Consider the following 22,203-nt stretch of genomic DNA (forward strand, 5'->3'; position numbering starts at 1 on the left):
TTCCTCAAATACCTGAATAAAAAGACAAACCTACAATCTTGCTTTATTATATATAAGAACTTAATAATTTACCAAGTATTCAAAGATATCCAGGAACATTTATCTTCTTCAAAATATTTCCTGATTTTAACTTGCTATTCCATTTCTCATCTGGATCCAGATCAGAACCTTTACCTACTTTTCTGCAGGTTACTCACTTCTGGCTTTCTTCGTGCTTGTGTGGCTCTTTTTTAAACACTTCACACTGAGTTGTGGACACCTATCCCTTCTTTTTTCAAAAGGTCTTTTTTCCCTTCTTTTTTCAGGAGGCAAGGAAGGGGGAGGCAGTAGGAAGGACTGAACAGAGAGGAAGAAGTGCGAAATACTCATTTGGAACAATGGGAGATTGAATAGACCGGAAAAAGAATGATTAAAGTGAGGACTGCTGGCATGGTCCTGTTTTCTTCCAGCCATGTTTAGTTGCATCGTTGTGGCATGGAATAGATGGAGAGCTGAGTTTATCCAGGGCTCCCATCTTACTAAGCAGATAGGAGGTGACAGGGAGGTGGGTGAGTTGAGGAGGTGTGCAAGGGACCAATGAGAATGGTTGGCCATGGAGTTTAAGCTCGCTCACTAGAGAGGGAAAAGTCATAAAGGAAGGAAGAAACAGTGAAAAGGTAGTAAGATCTGGATTGGAGGTACTGGTAAGGTTGCAAGAATTTTGTTTCAGGGCAGTATAGGGAGTAACCTGGATAGCTAGGAGGTGGTGGTCAGAGTGGGCTACTGTGGGGTTTGCAGTCCTTGGACCTGACAAGGTCTAAGGTCTGATCATGGAGGGAGGGGGAAGCTGAGGTAGGGCAGAGGACAGGAGTGGGCTTCATGAGATCAAAAGGATGTTGGAAGGATTATCTACCCGGATACTGACATCTCCATGAAGTAAGAGGCATAGTGTGAAGAAGTTACAACATCCTAAGCTCTTCACAGATAAGGGAAGCATGCACCACGTGGGTAGCCTCTCTTGTTTAGCACCCAGTATATAGCCTATGCAGAGTGAATACCTGGGGGCTGCTGGGGGCGAAAACAAGGTCACTGTGACAGGACCTGAAGCCTGGGGGTCTCGGTGACAGGAGTGGGCCTAGTTTTTTGGTGTAGAATTGAGCCTTGAGTGCACTGGTGGGATCTTATTGAAAGGAACCCCTCCAAGACTAGAAGAAGATGCATCCTCTGACAATGTAGGCTCTGTAGGCGTCCCAAGTACCTGGGCTGTGGGTTAGATGGACTCCAAGGCATTTCCTCAGGTGGCAATGGGCCGATCCCTGGGAAGGCAAAGCTGTGCAGGAAGAAAATGGCAAGATGCTACCTTCCCTCAGGGAAAGCCCCTTTCCCGGGAGCAGGGAAGGCGAGGCAGTTTAGGCTGGGTCAGTTTGTCCCTGCCATCAGAGTCTGTTGGTCCTGGAAAAAGAGGGCCTTATTTTATTTATTTATTTTTCTTTGAGACAGTGTCTTGCTCTGTCGCCCAGGCTGGAGTGCAGTGGCTCGATCTCAGCTCACTGCAACCTCCGCCTCCAAGGCTCAAGCGATCGTTCCGCCTCAGCCTCCAGAGTAGCTGGGACCACAGGGACCACAGGCGCCCGCCACGACGCTGGCATTGATTGATTGATTGATTGATTGAGAGAGAGGTAGCCTCCCTGTGTTGCCCAGGCTGGTCTTGAACTGCTGGGCTCAAGCAATCCTCCTGCCTTGGACTCCCAAAATACTGGGATTACAGGCGTGAGCCACCGTGCCTGGCTAATTTTCTTCCTTTCTTTTTTTTCCTGCGAGACGGTGGGCGGGGGTATCTCCCTAAGTTGCCCAGGCTGGTCTTGAACTCCTGGGCTCAAGCGATCCTCCCGCCTCAGCCTCCCAAAGGGCTGGGATTACAGGCATGAGCCACCGCTTCCTGCCAAAAGAGGGCTTTAGGGCACCCCCAGAACCTGAGATCTCCCTCATCTGTCATCTTTAAAGAGAAGGAAGTCGACTCCCAGTCGAGCCATAGTCCATTTGTCCCGGGCACGGTGACTCCGGGGTGGCCAGGACCAAATGTGTCTCCTTCTGGCTTTTGCACCGCACCAACTAATCCGCGGCAGGCCGCACAGCTGCCCTGGCCTTCGCGGAGGACTAAGGCGAGGGCGGTGTACGCTGCTCCGGAGTCCCACCGCGGGAGTTGAGGCAGCGGATTCCGAGGGCAGGGTGGGGCGGAATCGGGAGGGATGCGGACCCGGTGGAACGCACTGCGCAGACGGCGCCGGCGCCCGCACACAGCTGTTGACTAGTCTTCCAGCTCTCCCCTGGAAGTCGTCCAGGCGCCGGTCTCTTTTTTCTGCCTTTTTGTTTCCCTCCCCGCGAGTCGGCGCGACGGTGAATTTCCGTTTCCGGCGGTGTGGAAGCGGACCTGAGGAGTCGCAATTGTGAACAGGTTCGGTGCTGCGGCTGGGGTAGGCGGCAGTGGGGTCCCTGGCTCTGGGGCACTGGGAAGATCGCGAGTCGTGCGCGTGGGAAGGTCCTTCCCTGGTCCTCCGGGTTATCTTTGCTCCCCAGGAGCAGCATATTTCACCTTTAACGGAGGCGTGCCCGGGAGTCGTTGGGAGAGGGAACGGGGTGAATCCCTGCAGAGAGCCTGACGGGGAGGGAAGGTGTCCGGGAGACGTCGTTTCCTGGCGACGTGGTCCCAGCAGGCGACTCGGACCTGAGCCGAATCTGTTGACCCCAAATTGTGCTTTTCCCACCAAGAGCAAAAGAAAGAGAAACATTAGTACAGCTTCGGAACTAAAATATAGTAGAGAAGCAACATAACCTCGGAAATCCCACAGCTATTCAGTTTCAAAGCGTTCCTAGTGCCCAGCTCTCCTAACTCCCAGCCGGTGTTCCTTGACGTTATGGTGATATATAAAGACTTTCTGTTTCCGCTCGTGTTGTGTGTCTGTGGGAAGCCTCTGACTCACTTCTGTGCTCCAGTAGCACCCTGTGCAGCCTTGCAGTGTATCCCTTATTGCACGGAAGGTACTAGTTTGGATTTCCTCTGCAAGTCAGATCATAGCTATATCCATTCACTGGCACAGTGGCTAGCACATCATAGATAGACCAAACATTTATTAAACGGAATTAATACAGGACCTTAATTGAATGAAATGGCACCCTTTCCCGCTTTTTTTCAATCAAGCTGTCAGATTTTATGCAGCCTGATATTCTTAAAAAACTCACTAATTCAGTGATTACCAATTTATTGGCCACAGATTCCCAGGTACCTCAGAAATCACTGGAAGGGTCTCTGTAAGTCCATGGGGTCTCCAGGCATCATTTAGAACCAGTCATATCTCACACATACAGATACTGCTGTTTTTCAAATGTGTGTAGATGAGTTATAATTCAGGAGTTTTACAGAGGTGACAGGTACTAAAAGTAATACTGCGATCCTATTGGAAGTTCATAAAAACGTTTTAAATTTTTTATTACAATTTAAGTTTAAGTTAGGAAACCACTTCATTAGTCCAGTTGATACCTAGGTCTGAGCTGTCCAGTATGGTAGCGACATGTGACTGTTTAGAGTTAGAATGAAATTAATTAAAAATTCATTTTTTCAGTTTCTTTAAGAACATTTGTTTAGGGCCACAGGTTTCCAGGCTTAAGGGTGGGGCCTTTGCCAGGGAACCACTCTCTTCTACCCAGTATTTTCCTGTCTCCTGTCCATATCACAGGGATATACTCCGGCAAGTATTGCTATTAATTACTTCATTCATTCAACAGATGTATTGTGACAGATACTGTGCTAGCCACTTTCTGGGGCATAATGATGAAAAGAATCTGTCCCTTCCCTCAAGATCACTGGAAGCCGGGGGTCTAGTAGGAAGACAGAAAAGAGAACAGATGATTACATTTTCATGAAAGGCATGCACAAGGTGTTATAAAAATAAAGAGAAAGAGCACCAGCCCAGACTGGGTATTTGAGTACTGGGACTGTTCAGGAAGATGTAACATCTGTATGAGTTCTTGACAACAAGTGAGAGTTAAGCAAATAAAAAGTAAGAATGTATCCTATATAGAAGAAACGATATATGCAAAGGTCCAGAGGGCAGGCACATTGATGGACCACAATTAGTTGAGTAGCATGGAGTAAGTATGCGGAGGGTGATGGTAAGGAGATGGTAGCCAGAGTGGGAGACACAGGTTAGCTGATGGATAGTCTTGCATGCTATGCTACTGAGCCTTCACTCAGTAAGGAAGGCTTTGGGGGAACTGCAGTAGGATTCTAAGCAAGAGAATGCTTTGATAAAATTTTGTGATTTAGAAAGGTCAATAGATGGCAGTGTAGAAAATGAATTGGAAGGGCTTGTGTATAGGCAGAGGACTGATTAAGAAGCCATAGTGTAATTAAGATCTGGGCAAGACATGGACATGCACACTTGAGGGTGAAGGCTGGGAGGAGGGAGAGGATCAAAAAACTACTTATCAGGTACTGTGCTTATTACCTGGATGATGAAATAATCTGTATAACCAACCCTCATGACATGTGATTTACCTATATAACAAACCTGCACATGTACCTCTGAACTTAATACAAATATAAAAAAAAAGAGATCTGGGTGAGAAATGAGGGTTTGAACTAAGGTGAAATCTATTTGTACCTTAGGAGAAAGTAAGACAGGAAAATGAAAGATCTCAGGAGATTTGAAGGAGACAGAATTACCAGATGTGGAGACTGATAGGATACAGGATGAGGGAGAGAGGAGTCTAAGGTAACTGCCGGCTGATCCTCACATGGGAGACTGGAAAGATGACATTCGCTGAGATGAGAATGTTGTGGAGGAAGCTGGTATGTCTGAAGTGGTGAGGTTGGTTTTAGATTTGATAACTTTGAAGTTCCTGTAGAAGAACCAAAGGCCTGGAGGTCAGCTAAAAGATGCATTTGGCTCAATTTCATGGCTTTGTGATGGATTAAATGTCTTTCTCCAGTTAGCACCTTCTAACTATTTATCCAGAAGTTACTAGGACTCTTTATTTTGTTTTATTTTTCTTCTGATATATGCCCTGGGGGAAAGCACTTATATTACAAGTACTTATAATAGACTAAAGCTTAGGAGCTAGCACCGTCTTTCATAGTAAATAGAGTGACAGTCTAAATGGCATAAGCAGAGAGAACCCACTGCTTTTAACAGGTAGTCCATAGGAGTCACTTACCTTGGCCAGTAAATGGAAATGCCCATCCTCTTTTGTCATACATAATCTTGAAGATTGTGCCAGTTTTGAATAATGTGAGATGTCAAGCATCACACTTACCTAAAATGCTACACCTCTGTAAATGGATTTAAATATGCAGAACCATATACAACTCTCCCTGCCTTTCCTGCAGGCTCAGCGATATGAGGCAGCATCGACAATTTATGGACCGCACGCATTATCTGCTTACATTCAGCTCTTCAGAAACCTTGCTAAGGCTATTGCTACGGTAATCAAATATTGTTTGTGCGTGCGTGCGTGCGTGTGTGTGTGTGTGTATGTCTGTATGTGTCTGTGTCTGGGTAAGAGGGAAGTGAAAGAGAACCTTAGCTTCGAGTGTTCAGTTTGACAACCTTTATATTTTACAAAATTTATAGTTTTGTGGTATCTCTAACAAAATAAATAAAATTTCTTTCCCAATTTTGGATCTAGTTAACATCCTTTCATGCTGGCAGCTTCTTTCATATGTATTTTCTCACTATTTTTACAACCATCATGTGAAATTAGGGAGATATCATTTCTCCCCAGTTTTCAGAGGAGCACATAGGCTTGAAGATAAGTGATGAAGCTTACTACACCTGGGAGTTGAACCTGTGTTTTCTAATCCTTGCCAGATTCTCCCCACTCACTCCAAAAGTTGAGTAGGTCAGCATTCTAAGATGCCCATTTTCCACATTATAATATCTTGGAAATTGGGATGCATTTTCCAATCAGAGGAAGCTTATTATTATAATTAGTAGCATGCTTTTACTTTCTTGGTGGTTCAAAAGATAATATGAGTTGTTAAATCAATGGAAGCTTAGATTTGATGTAAAAATAGTGGTGCCTTGGAATAAAAACATTGCATCTACCTAAAATATATACCACTGAACAAGTTTACTTGATTTAAAGGAACTTCACTTGTGGAAATCTTCCCTTTGGATGCAGTTGTTTATGAAGCTGCAACTGTGATGTCAGAAGGTTAGTCAACAAACAAGATAAAGAGCTTAAAATAATAAGCAGCCCCTTATATAATAATATGTAAGCCTCAGTAAAAAATGTGAAACAATTGTGGCATAGCAAAGAAAATAAAGCCCTTTTAATGAAAGAGCTTGGATATATTAAATTGAAATAAATGAAATGGTTGTCTCTGTAGGTTGCATCAGTCGAACGTTGAAAATTTCATATGCCTGTATTATTACTGATTGTGTGTTTGAAATTTCAGTATTTTATATAATTTCTTTGCACATATTTTAATCAATTGATATTTATTTTCATTTTATCATAATTTTGGTCTCAGTTTTAGGTTACTTTTTTTGAATAACTGTTTGTATTTATTTATTTATTTATTTCTATTATAAAATCCAAATCTATTTGTAGGTCATTCAGATTATACAGAAAAGCATAAACCTATAATCCATCCCTAGAGATAACTACTGTTTAACTGTCACTATGCTCATAGGTCTATAGTTCTTCCCAAGAAAATAGATTCTTCAAATTTTGTAGTGACAATGAAGAAAAATGCAATTAATTTGGTGGAAATTTGTTTTACAGACAAATTTCTGGTCAAGCACCTTAAAACTAGCTATGTGATCTTGAAAAAAACCACTGAATATGTCTAAGCCTATTTTCTCATTTGCAAAATGGGAATGGTAATACATAACCTATCTCATATCATATGCAGTTGTAAAGATTAAATCTATAATGTGAGGAATAAAGAGCATTAAATATTCATTGAAATTAATGGCAAAATGCCAATTACTTTTGTACCAACCTAATATAGATATAGGGATATTTGAAAATTGAGATTTGTATTTTTATGACACTATTAAAAATGGTAAACTTTGTGGGCAATATAGATTAAACCAGTCAGGATGTGGGATGATCTTAAATTTTAAATTAAAAATATATTTATTATATTCTTTTATTAGCACAGACAAGAATCTAGGAAAAAACTTGGTACTCACTCCAGGTGAGAGTGGCTCAATACTTTTTAAAAATTAAAATAATAATTACACTGTCATGGTATAATTATCTTTTTGCATGTTAGGCCCCTGTACAAGGTCAGACAATTTGAAAGTATGCTTCCAACCTTGTACTCTGGTCACTGTCCTTATGTTGTCTAGGGGAATAAAAGAGTTGCCTATGACCAAAACTTTCTCCCAGTGACAAGAGTTTAAATTATGAATTTCTAGGCTCATGCTTAGCAAGGCTACCTTCCTATTTTGCTCAAGGTTGTTAGCTCTTGGAGTATGTATATGTGTGTGTGCACTCTTCCATTAATGCAGGCATTTCTGGGTCTGGAGGCCTGGGGAAAGGGTCTTTGACTCTACCTGTGCACTCCTTAACAAATGCTCTCTGTTCCAGGACATGGTAGCCAACCTGAGCAGAGGTCCAGAACCTCCCTTTTTCAAACAATTAATAGTTCCATTAATTCCTAGTATTGTGGATAGAGCACCAAAAGGCAGAACTTTCGGGGATGTCCTGCAGCCAGCAAAACCTGAATACAGAGTGGTAAGACTCATGAGCAGACCTTGGAATCCTTTAGAGGGATGTTTTGGGGGATGTCACTTTGTGTCACCATTTGCCTCTAATCATGCTGTAGACCAACTGTTAGCAATGATAATTTTGACAATTGTTCTTATCTCTGCAAAAGTAATGAGAATGGGGAAATATTTATTTTTTGTAAGTAATTGTGTCAAATTGAAATTCTAAAATCCAAATTATTCCTTTTCTTAAGTGAATGATCATGGAACTATTCACTGGCACTGAGAGTTGTCTCTTAAGTCAAGGATAGGAAAAACATACAGAAATGAAGCAGAATTTGTACCATTACTATTTTATATCAATCTTGTGTCCTGAAAGCTTGCTGAATCAGTTATTAGTTTCAACAGTTTTTCTGGGGGGAGGAGGGATGAGAAGAGGGGAGTCTGGATTCCTTAGGAATTTCTACATATAGTATCATGTCATCTGTGAATAAAAATAAGCTTATTTATTCCTTTCTATATTTCTTTTCTAAATGCACCTAATTATTTATCCTTATTGGACTGGCTAGAATCTTCAATAGAATGTTCTGCTTTTTAAAAATTTTTATTTAATTTTCTAATTGATAAATAAAAATTATATATATTTATTGTGTACAAGATGATGTTTTGAAATATGTATACATGGGGAATGGCTCAACTGAGCTAATTAACATATACATTATGTCACATACTTATTATTTTTTGTTGTGAGAAAATTTGAGACTTTCTTAACAATTTTTAAAACACAATATGTTGTTTTTAACTGAAGCCATCAAGTTGTACAGTAGCCCTCTTGAACTTATTCCCTTTGTCTAAATGAAATTTTATATTCTTTGATCAATAGAATATAAAATTTCAACCCCCTAACCTCCTAGCCCCTGGTAACTAACCTTCTGCCAACATTCTACTCTCTACTTCTATGAGTTTAACTCTTGAAGGTTCTATATATAAGTGAGATCATGTGGTATTTATCTTTCTGTACCTGGCTTATTTCACTGAATCTAATGTTCTCCAGGTTTATCCATGTTGTATCAAATGTAAGGATCTCATTCTTATTTATGACTGAATAGTATTCCATTGTGTATATGTACTACATTTTCTTTATCCATTCATCCATTGATGGACACTTAGGTTGTTTCATATCTTGGCTATTGTGAACAGTGCTGCAATAAACATGGGAGTTCACATATCTCTTCAACAAACTGATTTCATTTCCTTTCTCTATATACCCAGAAATGGTATTGTGTATATATTTTACAGTAGTTCTATTTTTAATTTTTTGAGAAACCTCTTGCTGCTTTTCATAATGGCTGCACTAATTCACATTGTCATGAACAGTGTGCAAGAGTTACCTTTTTCTACATTCTTATCAACACTTGTCTTTTGTCTTTTTAAATATTATACATTCTAACAGGTATTAGGTGATATCTTGTTGTAGTTTTAATTTGCATTTCTTCGATGATCACTGATATTGAACATTTAAAAAAATACCCTGTTGAGCATTTGTATGTCTTCTTTGGAGAAATGTTTATTCAGGTCCTTTTCTTATTTTCAAATTGGGTTATTTGTTTTCTTGCTATAGAGTTGTTTGAGTACCTTATATCTTTTGGATATTAACTCTTTATTGGATGCATAGTTTGCAAGTGTTTTCTCCCATTCTTTAGGTTGTCTCCTCACTTTGTTAATTGTTTTTTTGGTTGTGCAGAAACTGTTTAGTTTGATGTAATATGTGCCTGTTTTTGCTTTTGTTGCTTTTGCATTAGGGGTCATATTAAAAAAAAAAAACAAACATCACCTACACCAACATCATGGAACTTTTCCTCTAGGTTTTCTTTCAGTTGTTTTATAGTTTCAGGTTTTATATTTAAATCTTTAATCAATTTTGAGTTAATTTTTATATTTCCTTCTTCTGCATGTGGATATCCAGTTTTCCCAGCAGCATTTATTGAAGAGACTGTCACTTCCCCATTGTGTGTTCTTGGCACTTTTGTCAAAAATCAATTTATCATAAATGTGAGGGCTTATTTCTGGGCTCCATTGGTCTATGTGTACCAATGGTGTGTTGATTACTTTAGGCCAGTACCATGCTGTGTTGATTACTATAGCTTTGTAGTATATTTTGAAGTCAGGTTGTGTGGTACCTTCATCTTTGTTTTTTTTGCTGAAGATCCAATCCAATGTCAAATAGAAGTTGTGAGACTGGACACTCTTGTCTTGTTTCCAATCTTAGTAGAAAAGTATTCAGTTTTTCACCATTTAGTATGATGTTTTCTTTAGGATTTTTTGTAGATTCTCTTTTTCATGTTTTATGCCTAGCTTATTGCAAGTTTTTGTCAGAAATCAGTGTTGGGGTTTTGCAATTTTTTTTCTATTGAGGTGACAATGTGGTTTTGTCTTTTGTTATTTTAATAAGGTATTTGCATTCATTGGTTTTCAGATGTTAAATAAATGCCGTATCATTTAGTCATGGTGTATAATCCTTTTTAGATGTTGCTGAATTTGATTTGCTGATATATTGTAAGGAGTTTTCTACTCATGTCCATGAGGGATATTTTTAGTTTTCTTTTTATGTGTTGTCTTTGCCTTTGGTATTGGGGCAATAGTGCTTTCAAAGAATGAGTTGGGAAATGTTTTCTCTTGTACTTTCTGAAAAAGTATCCAAAAGATTGGCATTATTTACTCTTTAAATATTTGATTGGATTGACCAGCAAGGCCATATGGACCTGGCTTTTCTTTATGGCAAAATTTTTATTACTAATTCAATTTCTTTACTTGTTATATGCCCATTCATATGTCCTATTTTTTTCCTTGCATCAATTTTGTGTCTTTCTAGGAATTTATCTTTATAGGAATTGGTATCATTCTAGGAATTTTCTCATTTCATATAAGTTGTTTAATTTGTTGGTGTAATATAAAAGTTGTTGTTGCTCATGATAATCCCCTGTAATCCTTTTAATTTCTGAAGAGTTGACAATTATATCCCCTCTTTCTTTCTAATTTTGGTAATTTGTGTCCTCAAAGAACTAGCATTTAGTTTTATTGCTTTTACCTATTGCATTACCTATTACTAAATTTTTTAGGCAGGACCAGAGCAGATTTTCATCTTGAGCAAATCCCTTCCTCACTTCCCCCAGCACCCCTCATCCCCTCACACACTAATGTAAAATTCTTTTGAATTATGAGGTTTTCCAGTCTGGCCTGGTGGGAACAGAATCTTGTCACAACTCTATGAGCCTGGGGACTGTTCTCTGTAATTCTGTTAGCCCATTCTTTTCCTGGCTTCCAGTAGTTCCCTTATATGCATGCAAACTTGAGGGGAGCTTTCTGCAAATCTCCAGATTTCTGTCTCTGTGCAGCTATCCTCTCTATGATGCTCTGTGCTATAAACTCAAGACTGTTTGGCTTTTGTGGACACCCAGCTCCATATCCTCAACTTAGACTGCCAGACTTGGCCTGAATTCTCCTTCTGCCGTGGCCCGTAAACTGATGACATTGAGCTGGTGGATTACAGGGTTCTTGTTTGTCTGCTGCCACTCAAATATCACTGTCTTTCTTTGTCACTTGAAAATCCATTGTTTAATATATATTTTTTCCAGTTTTTTAGTCGTTTCAGGTGGGAGGATAAATACACATCCTGCCACTCCATCTCTTATAAAAATAAAAGCTTAACTATAAATGTAAGCATAAATATGAGTCATCTGTGGAAAGTTTTGACTGTTCTAATTTGATTCAAATATTCCCTGTATTTGTGTTGGGAGGGAGGTGTGAGGAATTATCAAGGCCTGAAGAAGCCATTTTAATATGCTGTCACTAATATAAACTACAGCTCTAGATCTTCACTTGTATCTGAGTCTACCAAAAGCAAACTCATTGGCCAAACATTCCTATGTCTATTGTTGCAAGGGTTAATATTCTTAGAAGATAACTTACTTGATTAAATAGAACAAAATCTATAAAGGCACCCTAAATTATAGAATTTATAATAAATAATGTCCAAAATATGAGTATAGCAAAAAAACCGTTTATTAGAAATCATTAAATGAATTTTTACTTTCAGGGGGAAGTTGCTGAAGTTATATTTGTAGGTGCTAACCCGAAGAATTCAGTACAAAACCAGGTAGGTATCAATGATTTTCTTTTACAAATGTAAATCCACTTTTTAGCCATTCATTCATTTAAATATCCCTCTAGAGGTTAATAACATAAAGACAAAATGTTCCAACTTGTTTTCCATCTTATTTTGTAGGTACGGGAAAATATTCAATAGGTAGTTAATGTGGATTGAGTCTGGGTAAAAGCACACAGGAAACATATAATTGGCTCCACTTAGGACCAAGTATAGCATAATGCATGTATGACTGCATTGTCTGTCAAGAAGATGTTAAGTTGAATACAATCCCATATATATAATTATGCGCCACATACAATGATGTTTCAGTCAAAGATGAACTGCATTTATGACATTGGTCCCGTGAGATTATAATACTCTACTTTTACTGTACCTTTTCTACGTTTAGGTATGTTTAGATACACAAATACTTACCATTGTGTTACAATTGCCTACAACATTCAATACAGTAACGGGCTGTACAAATTTGTAGCCTAGGAGCCACGGGCTATACCATATAGCCTAGGTAGGAGGTTACACCATCTAAGTTTGTGTAAGTCTAAGTCTGTGATGCTCATACAATGATGAATTTGCCTAACAATGCACTTCTCAGGATGTATCCGATATATGACTGTATTCAAATATATAGAACTCTACCAAATGTTGTGAAATAGTCAAAGGGCCAACTGAAGGATGTGTGTCTTTGGCTTCTTCTTCTCTTTTTGGCTCTCTCCTCCTCCTCTACACTACTATCTCTGGTCCTACCTGTACTGTTGTGGAACGGTCACAGATCCCCAGGTGTATACTCTCCTGGCTTGGAGTCCTGGTGCATGTGCTTTACTTTATCTTGCATTGGCCATTTCCCTATTATTTACTACTGGTGCTAATAGAGCATTTATTTATTAAACCTAAAAAATGACATTCAAAATACATGCCCAATGTTAAAACAATATAGAAGTGTAGAAAATAGAATATATAAGTGCTCTTCTACCCACAAACCTGCTTTCCAGAGGTAATAGCTGTTAAGAGTTTTTTAATAAAGCATTTTAGACTTTTTTGTTTTTATCATATGTATGATAAACTATATACATATGTAATATATCTATTAATAAAATTAATGTATACTTGTATAACTTCCTTAAAATATACTTATAACTACACAAGCAGTAACTGGACACATTCTAGTTGTAAAACCTCAAATAATAAAGGAATTTATAGTGGAAAAAGAGTGGGCATATGACTGTGATTTCGAGGTCATGGTTTTCACTGTGGCTGAGGATGCATTCCTTATATCAATTAGCTGTTCTTCCCAGGGCCTATAGTCACTTATAATCCAAAAATACCTTCCTTCCAAAAGAACCTTCCCATTCCTGTTTTTAAAATGTCATTATTGCCAAGATAACAATTGTGGCAATATGACATTCTCAAATATGACATTGGAGGAAAGTCTTCTACTTCTTAGGTAGTCAATATGCACCTGTTTGAAGTAATTTCTTTAGTAAGTGAATCTGTGCCACAATAGTTACGTGTTCATAACATTATTTTCTGAAGATATCAAAGTGTTATATCAAAACTGCATGTTTAGCTGTCACCTGATATCCCTAGGGTAGAGAAATTCTATCATCATTATTGCCATGGAGAAGCAGGAGAACAAAACCTTTAAACTACTATAGTGGTAATAGAATTAATTTCAAAGAATGCTCTGGGACTTGGTATAAAACAATTTCTATCACCCTTCTTCATTAGTAGTTATCATCACTATTTATGGAATGCTTACTATTTTGCAGGTAGTATTTGCAAGTATTCCTATTAAAGTGCTTTATATGCATTATCACATGATTAATTCCATCCTTACGACTACCCAATGAGTTAAGTTTTATTACCCTTACTTTCCAGATGAATAAACTGAGGCCTAGAGAGATAAAGTAACTTATATTATGCATAATTAATGTATGCACTACCTAATTATGCATCTGGAAGAGATTACGGTAGAGCAGTTGGGAAAAGATTGTCATATGTTTTATCCCTGGTATTCAGAGGCCTAGACTTGTTCTTCAGTCTCTACTCTAGACATATTCAAAAAGCCCACCATATCTTCTCCATCTAAGGCCTTCCCAATGTCATTTGCCATAAATAGACAGAAATAACTCTCTTTACAGGTTCCTATGGTTATGAAAACTTCCTTATTGAATGTAATTCATCAGTTGAATACTTAAAGAAGAATTTTAAACAATTACATGGCCCACATGTAAATAGGTGATACATTTAGCAAGGGGTTATTTGAGCACCAGTAAATGACAGATGTAAAGAACTGTGATAAATATAAGTGAATTAGACATGTACCTTTTAGGGTCACAATCTCAAGGATTTAAAAGGATACTAGAAATGTATAGCCTTTGTCTTTATTAACTTGTCATATCATTCAAATCTGTGCTTTGTTTGAAGCTGAATTCTTGGTCTGAAACAAATTCTTCTATTATAATAATCTTCCAATGGGGAAATAAAATCTTTTTATGATGTGGTTTCTAGAAATCTATTATAAAAAATCTAAAGACCTCCTTTAGTACCCCAGGATAGGGAAGATTTATGTATTCTTTTCAATTCTTTCACTCAGGGAGGTACGTTAACTAATAATTCATTCACCTGGAGATGGAAAGTAGACTAAACTTTACCATTTTCCCTTCTAACTTTTGAGGTGACTAGAGAAAGTCTTGGGATATATAGATCAATAAACATATCATGAAAAGGCTTGACTTATACCTTTTTAAAATCTCAGGTAAGTTTTATTCCCAGCCTCTTTTCTGCCCTAATTTCCAAAATTTGCTACTAACTCTAAAATTACACTTCTTTCACATTTCTAAAAAAATCATGTTTTTTAATAGACTGGATAAATTAACATTCTGAGTACATTGCATAGAATGTTAAGAGGAAAGCCTAAGAATTTGGATGAAATTCTAACACATTTTCACACAAGGTATTGGTAGGCTAACATATGGTCAACAAGGGGAGTATTTACAAACAGGTTCCTTCTGTGACTGTGCAGTACCTGATCAGGTTTATTAATTGCATTTCAGACCCATCAGACCTTCCTCACTGTGGAGAAATATGAGGCTACTTCAACATCGTGGCAGATAGTGTGTAATGATGCCTCCTGGGAGACTCGGTGAGCACATTTATTGAATATTTTTGTCTTTCAAGCTTCGAAACCAGTTGGCTTGTAATGCTGGGAAGACAAATGAAAAGACTGGCTCAGTACAAGGTATTAATGATATCAAATTCCCAAGGAGGTTTCTGGACATATTTAGTTGATTTATTAGATTTCATTTTGATTCATTTTTCTGCAAAACAGTGTGGTGTGTGCTTCTGTAAGATTAGGTGCTAATGAGGTTATGGCTTCCATTCTTACAGACATCTGTTCTGTTTTTTTTCCCCATGGACACAGGTATTATTTGTAAAATCTAACTGGCTTCCTTGCAAATTGGTTGAAAGGAGTATAGAGTAAAAGTGTTGAGATGTCTCTGTAGAGCTTGATATTTCTATAGGGAAAATGAGTCTATACCTGACATGTATTGCATGTTTGTATATGATCAATGATTCTTCATTTGAGTTACTAAAACACTAGAGGCTTGGGTGTTTAACTCTTAATGACTTGAGTGAGGAGATAATATATTCAGGCAATTTCTCCAGAGAGACATATCTCTTTGCCTTTTGCTACCAAATTCCTGAGCTGAATAGATATTTTGAAGATTTGATAATGTGTCTGAAATAAGACAATACTTCTGTTCCCAAGTCTATAAATTTAACATTCCATGACAGTGGCATGGAAGTAGGTACAGTTTTTGGCAATTTGGGTCTAATTCAGATTGCCTCAAACTAAGTGATATTAGTTTGTTAAATGTAAATATGTTAGTATGGTTCAGATGGTTAATTGAAAATAGGAATTTGACCATGGCCCATATACAAATATGGGCAAAATTTTTCTTTGGTATTTAGAGCTGTAGAGTATAGGTACATTTTAAAACAAGTAATGTATATTTATCGTTGAAAAGGTTATACAGGTAATAAAAAGAATGATTTATATTTAAATGCTCAAAGTTTTTAGCTAATAGCAGTCAATACTGAGGATATGTTTAGATCTCTGCCTTGTTCATTAGCAGCAGAATAATCAAATATTTGTTGAGAGTACTGAACCCATCACTGAGAAACACAGAATGTCGAGCACACTCTCTGTGCCCAAGAGATTTACTTTCAGCATAACTGAGGATATCAGTTAGCCCATTGTATCTCACTGAGTCTAGAAGAGTGTCTGAACTCTCTGCTGTGATCTGCAGGGGCCAACATGATCTGGTTCCACCTGTTTCTCTCATCTCAAGCACTCTTCCATGGTTTACCATTCCCTGTACCAACTGACCTGCTTTCTGCTTTGTGGCCACATCAAGTTTGTTCCTGCTTTGGACACTTTGTATTTTCTGTTCCTTCTTGTTAGAATGTTTTTTCCTCCAGATTTCTGCAGACTCAGTTTAAATGACATCTCCCTAAAAAACTTCCATCTTGTTTTCTACACTAAACTTGTCATTCTTAAGATTTTTATATTTATTGCTTTTTGTTTATTGCATTTATTTCCATCTTCAACTCAGTAGAACATAAGCTTCATGAAACTTGGGACCATATCTATCTTGCTCCTTACTGTACCCTCAGTACTTCTAGAAGAGAGTCTGACATGTATTCATTTTCTATATATATATATACATATATATATGTATACACACACACATATATATATATAGAAAACAAATGAATCTAGATGTGAAAATAAGTGTCAGATAAGGGCTAAAAGAGTGCTTTGCAATTCTACAGCAGGAGAGACATCTTGTGGCTATCAGGTAAGGTTTCCTGGGGTGAGTATAATTTAGGTAGGTAGAAAGGTAGAACAAGTAAAGCTGTTTCTACAAATTGCTGTTCTTTAAAGTTTCTCTTCTAGAAAATAGACGTTTTTGTCTGTTTTGTTCATTGCTGTATCTTCAATGTCTTGATAGTGCCTTGCTCATTGTAGGTATTCTCTGAATATTCATTAAATGAATAATCATGTATTTTTCTAATTAAACATTTTTAAGAGTAAAATTGAGTTTTGCTTGCTTGTTTGTTTTTTATCAACAGTTTTTATTGGCACAAGGGACTCCTGGGTCTGAGTAATGCAACAGTGGAATGGCATATTCCAGACACTGCCCAGCCTGGAATCTACAGAATAAGATATTTTGGACACAATCGGAAGCAGGACATTCTGAAGCCTGCTGTCATACTTTCATTTGAAGGCACTTCCCCGGCTTTTGAAGTTGTAACTATTTAGTGAAAAGTTGATAGATCATTTAAAGAACAGCTTTACTCTCTACACATTATATAAGTGATTTCAAATGAATGTGAACTAGTGAACTACCATGTTGACTTCTATAATCGTCCCTGTTTGGGGACAGATAGTTTACTGCTAATGGGGTGGAGGGGTGTGTGTGTGTGTGTGTGTGTGTGTGTGTGTGTGTGTGTGTGTGTATGTGAGAGAGAGAGAGAGAGAGAGAGGTTTGTCCCATATATCTTGTTCCAGCAGCCATATATCTTGTGGTCTACAGCCTAAAGCATGATTTCCCTTGAAGTCTTGGGGTTGTTTAAAGGAGAGTCCCTTCAATATAAAACCTCTGAAATATTAGTGAGAATGGCTCACTAATGTGAACAATGTTTAAATTATTTATTTATATATAGAATTACTGAATATTAGTACTGGGAAAATTTATAGAAATCATCTAGTCTTACCCTTCATCTTACATATAAGAAAAATGGTCTTTTCTTCTAATCACATTTACAAAATATGATATAAACCTTGACCATGAATGTATGAGCCTAATTAGAGAAACAGAAAATCAGCATGTCAGTTTTCCTTCATTCAAAATAACATAGTCTTTCTAAGCAGTCATTCTGGAGTTAACATGCCTAGTTCAGAGCCGCTGTGGATGCTCAAATCATTTCTGGAATTGCCTTCAGGACACAATTATGAGAAAGTCAGACTTCCAATATTTTGATCATGCCTTGTGTCTTCCTAAGTGTCCTTATCCCACTGGATTGTGTCTCTTACTCCCAAGACTTATTCCAAATGATTTTTTGACTCTTTTCATTAATCAAATTCACCCCAAACCAGAAAGTTTTGCCATTAGCGTAGATATTAAAAATATTACTGGCTGGGAAAGCACTCCTCAAAGCAGAGGTTCTAAATTAATTTATCTGTTCTTTTACCATTTGCTCACTCACTCACTCATGGACCCATTCAATCATAGAATATTTAAGATTTATATGCCCAGAATTATAATAGTGCCTAGGCCTTGATAATTAGTGAATTTGTACTTGGGGTGAATGTGTAAGTGTCAAAAGGTAACTATTATGAAGGAGAAAATAATCGATTTAATATGTAAATTCTGGGGAGGCATTTAAAAAATCAGTAATCTTCAAGTTATATCTTGTGTATCATCTGTGTTGGATACTCTAATTTGGGGGGAAAGAGGCTCCAGACAGTTTGCTAAATACTATTTTGAAAGTTATTTTTGGGCATTGTAAAATACCTTGCTTCATACCCCAAAGAATAAGATATGACAATCTGACATCGATTGTCTGAAAGTACTAATTGCATTTAAAATTCTTTAAGTTAACTACAACCTCCCAGACTGCAAAGCAAATTTCCAAACCCCAGGTCATACTTTTGTATGTATGTAAAAGCTTTAGCATTTTAGGGAAAAAAATCAATCTGTATTTCAAAAATAAACTTTGAGGTTTGAAAATAATAACAATATTCATAATGGTAGTATTAACATCTATTATGTATAACTTAATCTCAACATAATTTATTGAATTAGAATGAACCTGGAACACTTTTTGATGAATTGGTATCCTAGAGGCTGTTTCCTTGGGCCTTAACTGCTGGAGGATTAGGTAATCAGGGATTCCAAGTGTTGTGATCTTTTTTCTGATGACGCCACAGTCTTCAGTGTAAAAGTTCAGAAGCCTAAAAGAACAAGTGATCCTGAAAGTAGCTGATTCCAGACAAGAAAATTATATTAGAACTCATGATATGGTTTTTTAAAGTATTTGTTATTACTCAGAAGGGTTCATGAATCAGTTTCCACTACCTCTATTCCTTCTATTGAAGCTTTCCTCAAATCTACTTGTGATTCCTGATAGCTCACTGGCAACTGTACCAAGGTGGCCACTGTATCATCTACTGATCCTTCTGCACCTAGCACTCTTGGCTCCAGATAACGCACAGAAACCTATTTTCTCACCAGCTGTCATTTCTTCTAGGGCATGCAGTTCTATGTTCACAGTTCATGTGTAAAAATAAAACCAAATTCCTGGATTATCAATATCAGTTCTTTACCTGTGCATAAAAGAATATCATGAAGTAATTGAACTTATCTGTTGATATAAAAACACAGATCCAATTCGTGTCTGTGGATGCTGCAAGGACTGGCTCACTGGAGCCAAACCATGTGGCGGAAACTCCTGAAATTGGTGGAAAAAGTGGAATATGGCAGATTGGGTAGGTAGGAGAACAATTTTGGAGATTTTGTTTCTCATGTTAAAGTGTCTGCATTTTATTTGCTGTACCCTGCCTACTCTGGTTTTAAGGATTTTTTGACTTCTTCGAAAAGCACTGAATAATCTCTTTGCCGGGTCTAGATTTTTTGATGAGTACTGTGTAAAATTGTCAATATTCAATGGATTATTTAATAATAAATTAAGAATTACACTCATAAAAGTATTGTCTAATGAAAGGTAATGTAGACAAACGAACACTTTTTTAAAAAAAGAGGTGGAACAAAAGGTGGTAGATTACATGTAAATTAGGTTGGAAAGTGATACAAATGACTTGTAAATAACCACTGAAGCACAAGGGAACCACTTCTTTATCAGTTCCTTTCTAACTTCTGAAGATGTACTGCTGGTAAAGCACATGTATGGTTGGCATTTCTTTTATTTTCTTTCTCTTTTTTACTAGTTGGGCAAAAAAATTTCCTAGGCAGGTAGCTAACTATGAAATTGTTTCCTGCGCTAATTCTGAACAAAAAGACCAAGAATGAATTTACTTATGAATGTCCTTTTCTAATGTGCCCTCTTATGCTTCTCCTCCAATGTAAGCAAGCTTACTGTCTTTTTCTAAGATTAGCGCATGGATTCTATCTTTAGCCAAAAGGTTTCATCACTAGATGAACTTCTCATGTGTTTAGTTCTTCCAAATGATGCTCTTGCTTCCTGGGTATCCAACCTGACTTGCTGGTTTATATTGGCTTCCAAAATTTTAGAGTGATAGGGTATCGGAGAGGGAAATTTGCACATTCCTTATGCAATTTGTTAGTATGCATTCAGCTGTAACTCAGAAAATATTCCTGATCAACATGCATCCAAACACTAAAGACATTTATAACCTCACATAGCAGTAAGTCTTGAAGTGATAAATTCAGGTTTGGTGCAGCCACTCAGTGGCTCTTCTTAATATATTGACTTAATTCTTAGGCTTATCCTCTTAGCTAAAAGATCGCTACCTCAAGTCTACATATAATTGAATGCGGCAGCAAAATGGGAGGAGAGAGTTCTCTTTATAATCCCCTTTTAGAAGGTGGAAAATAGTAAGAACACAAGTTGAATTTTCCTTCTATTTCTTTGTTCAGAACTGTGCCACACAGCTACTCTTACCTGCAAGGGAAGCTGGAAAAAAGAATATTTAGTATTTTGTGCTTCTAGAGAGTGAGGCAAGTTCTGATAGTAAGAAAGAAGAGATAGCCGAAGTAGCTGTCATAAAATTATGTTAGTCAAGACAGATTAGTTATGCTACAACATTAGAGATTTATTTCTTGATCTCATGACCTGTCCATTGGGGTTAGCTGAAGGATCTGTTCCACATCTCATTTGAGTTCACAGGCTGACAGAGACTTCCATTCTAAACATTCTTCCATTGTGAGGGAACAGGAACAGGTGCTTCCATGATTAGGGGGAAGGGACAGGGAGAATCATGCAATAGTTCGTGAAGCTTCCACATTACTGTGCATTTTTCACTGGGCAGGTGACAGAACCAGGATATTTGCAAGCAGCCCTAAAGGTTACCACAGTGGGCAAGCAATAATATCTGCATATCCAAATTAACTGCTCTTTGAAATAATTAGAACTCGTTTTACTCTAGAAAATATATTTTGGAAAAGAACACACATTGGAATAATGACGAAAAAAATTGCTTTCTGTATTGCAAAATGTATACGTTCCTTTAACAGATTTATATCAAGCACCTATATACTTTATGGCAGAAATTATGCTAAATCCTAAGAATGAAACAATAATGAAGGCAAAGCTATTCCCTGCCAAAAGGAACTTAGAGTTTAACGAACAAAGCAAACGGATGAACAGGTAATTACTGTACAGAGTGACCCATATTGTTATTGTTCAGGGAATTAGAGAGGGCACCTAATATGGTCTTGGGGATGTTTCAGTAAGTTTCCTGGAAGAAATAACATATAAGCTAAGACTTAAAAGATATGTAGAAATTAGCTAGAAGGAAGGCAATGGTGTGTGCATGTATGTGTGTATTAGTTTGTGTTTGTGTTTGTGTACTGGGCAAATAGACTATTCCATGTAGAGGGAATATTGAGTACTTTATCAAGACTATAGTTAGAGTATAAGGAAAGAGTTGACAGTGAGGCAGCACCAAACTTTACCTTCATAAATAGCAATTTGGTTTTATACTTGTATTAGCATTTTTCCCCCTTGACATCAATGTCCTTGAATGTATTTGCCATTTGCTCTAATAATAAAATACACTTTCTATAACCAAAAACTTACCTCGACTCCCAGTTTCCAGTACCACTTAGTGTCATCCTTCTGTCTTCAGGGCTATAACCCTGTCCATAGACAAACCCATGGAATTGAATTTATTAAGAGACTTCTTTTGCTTATGTCAATTTCATATTTCCAAATCTGATTTATTTTGTTTTTTGTTTGTTGTACCTGCTAAAATGGCAAGTATAGCCAATGAAGACCATTCTCTCCCTTTAGATAGGGTTCAGAGTTCCAGCCTTACGAGTTCATAAATACTTGTGAATACTAAAAATTTGAGCCACCCTCATAAAATTCAAAGCATCTTGGCCTGCATACTGCCAAGTTATCAGGGACCCAGCTTCGGTTAGTCCTATTTCTGGATTTTTTTACCATAATGAAAAATTAGAAGCCTAGGGGTATGGGGTCAATACTAGCTAGAGGAGAATAGAAGATCTACTATCCCTGTCTGAAATCAGGTATCTGGAAACATTGACTTGATCATTTTCTCTGTCTCAT

At 37.5% G+C, this 22,203-nt stretch overlaps 1 protein-coding gene across 6 annotated transcripts; it reads left to right on the forward strand.

Moving 5' to 3' along the window:
* The first annotated feature begins 2,386 nt into the window (after positions 1–2,386).
* On the forward strand, positions 2,387–21,706 carry ASAH2B (N-acylsphingosine amidohydrolase 2B). Of its 6 annotated transcripts, NM_001321960.2 has the most exons (7): positions 2,387–2,453; positions 5,366–5,461; positions 6,124–6,192; positions 7,579–7,725; positions 11,794–11,853; positions 14,919–15,007; positions 17,002–21,706. In NM_001321960.2, the coding sequence occupies exons 4-7, from the start codon at positions 7,582–7,584 to the stop codon at positions 17,189–17,191; spliced, it is 483 nt and encodes a 160-aa protein (NP_001308889.1). In that variant the 5' UTR covers positions 2,387–2,453; positions 5,366–5,461; positions 6,124–6,192; positions 7,579–7,581; the 3' UTR covers positions 17,192–21,706. The 6 variants fall into 6 exon arrangements, 5 of the variants coding, with proteins under 5 accessions (NP_001308889.1, NP_001308888.1, NP_001072984.1 ...); NM_001321959.2 differs by lacking the exon at positions 6,124–6,192; NM_001079516.4 differs by lacking the exon at positions 6,124–6,192 and having other exon boundaries at positions 7,653–7,725.
* The last annotated feature ends 497 nt before the right edge of the window (positions 21,707–22,203 follow it).

This window comes from Homo sapiens, chromosome 10, assembly GCF_000001405.40.
Source record: "Homo sapiens chromosome 10, GRCh38.p14 Primary Assembly".
NCBI lineage: Eukaryota > Metazoa > Chordata > Mammalia > Primates > Hominidae > Homo > Homo sapiens.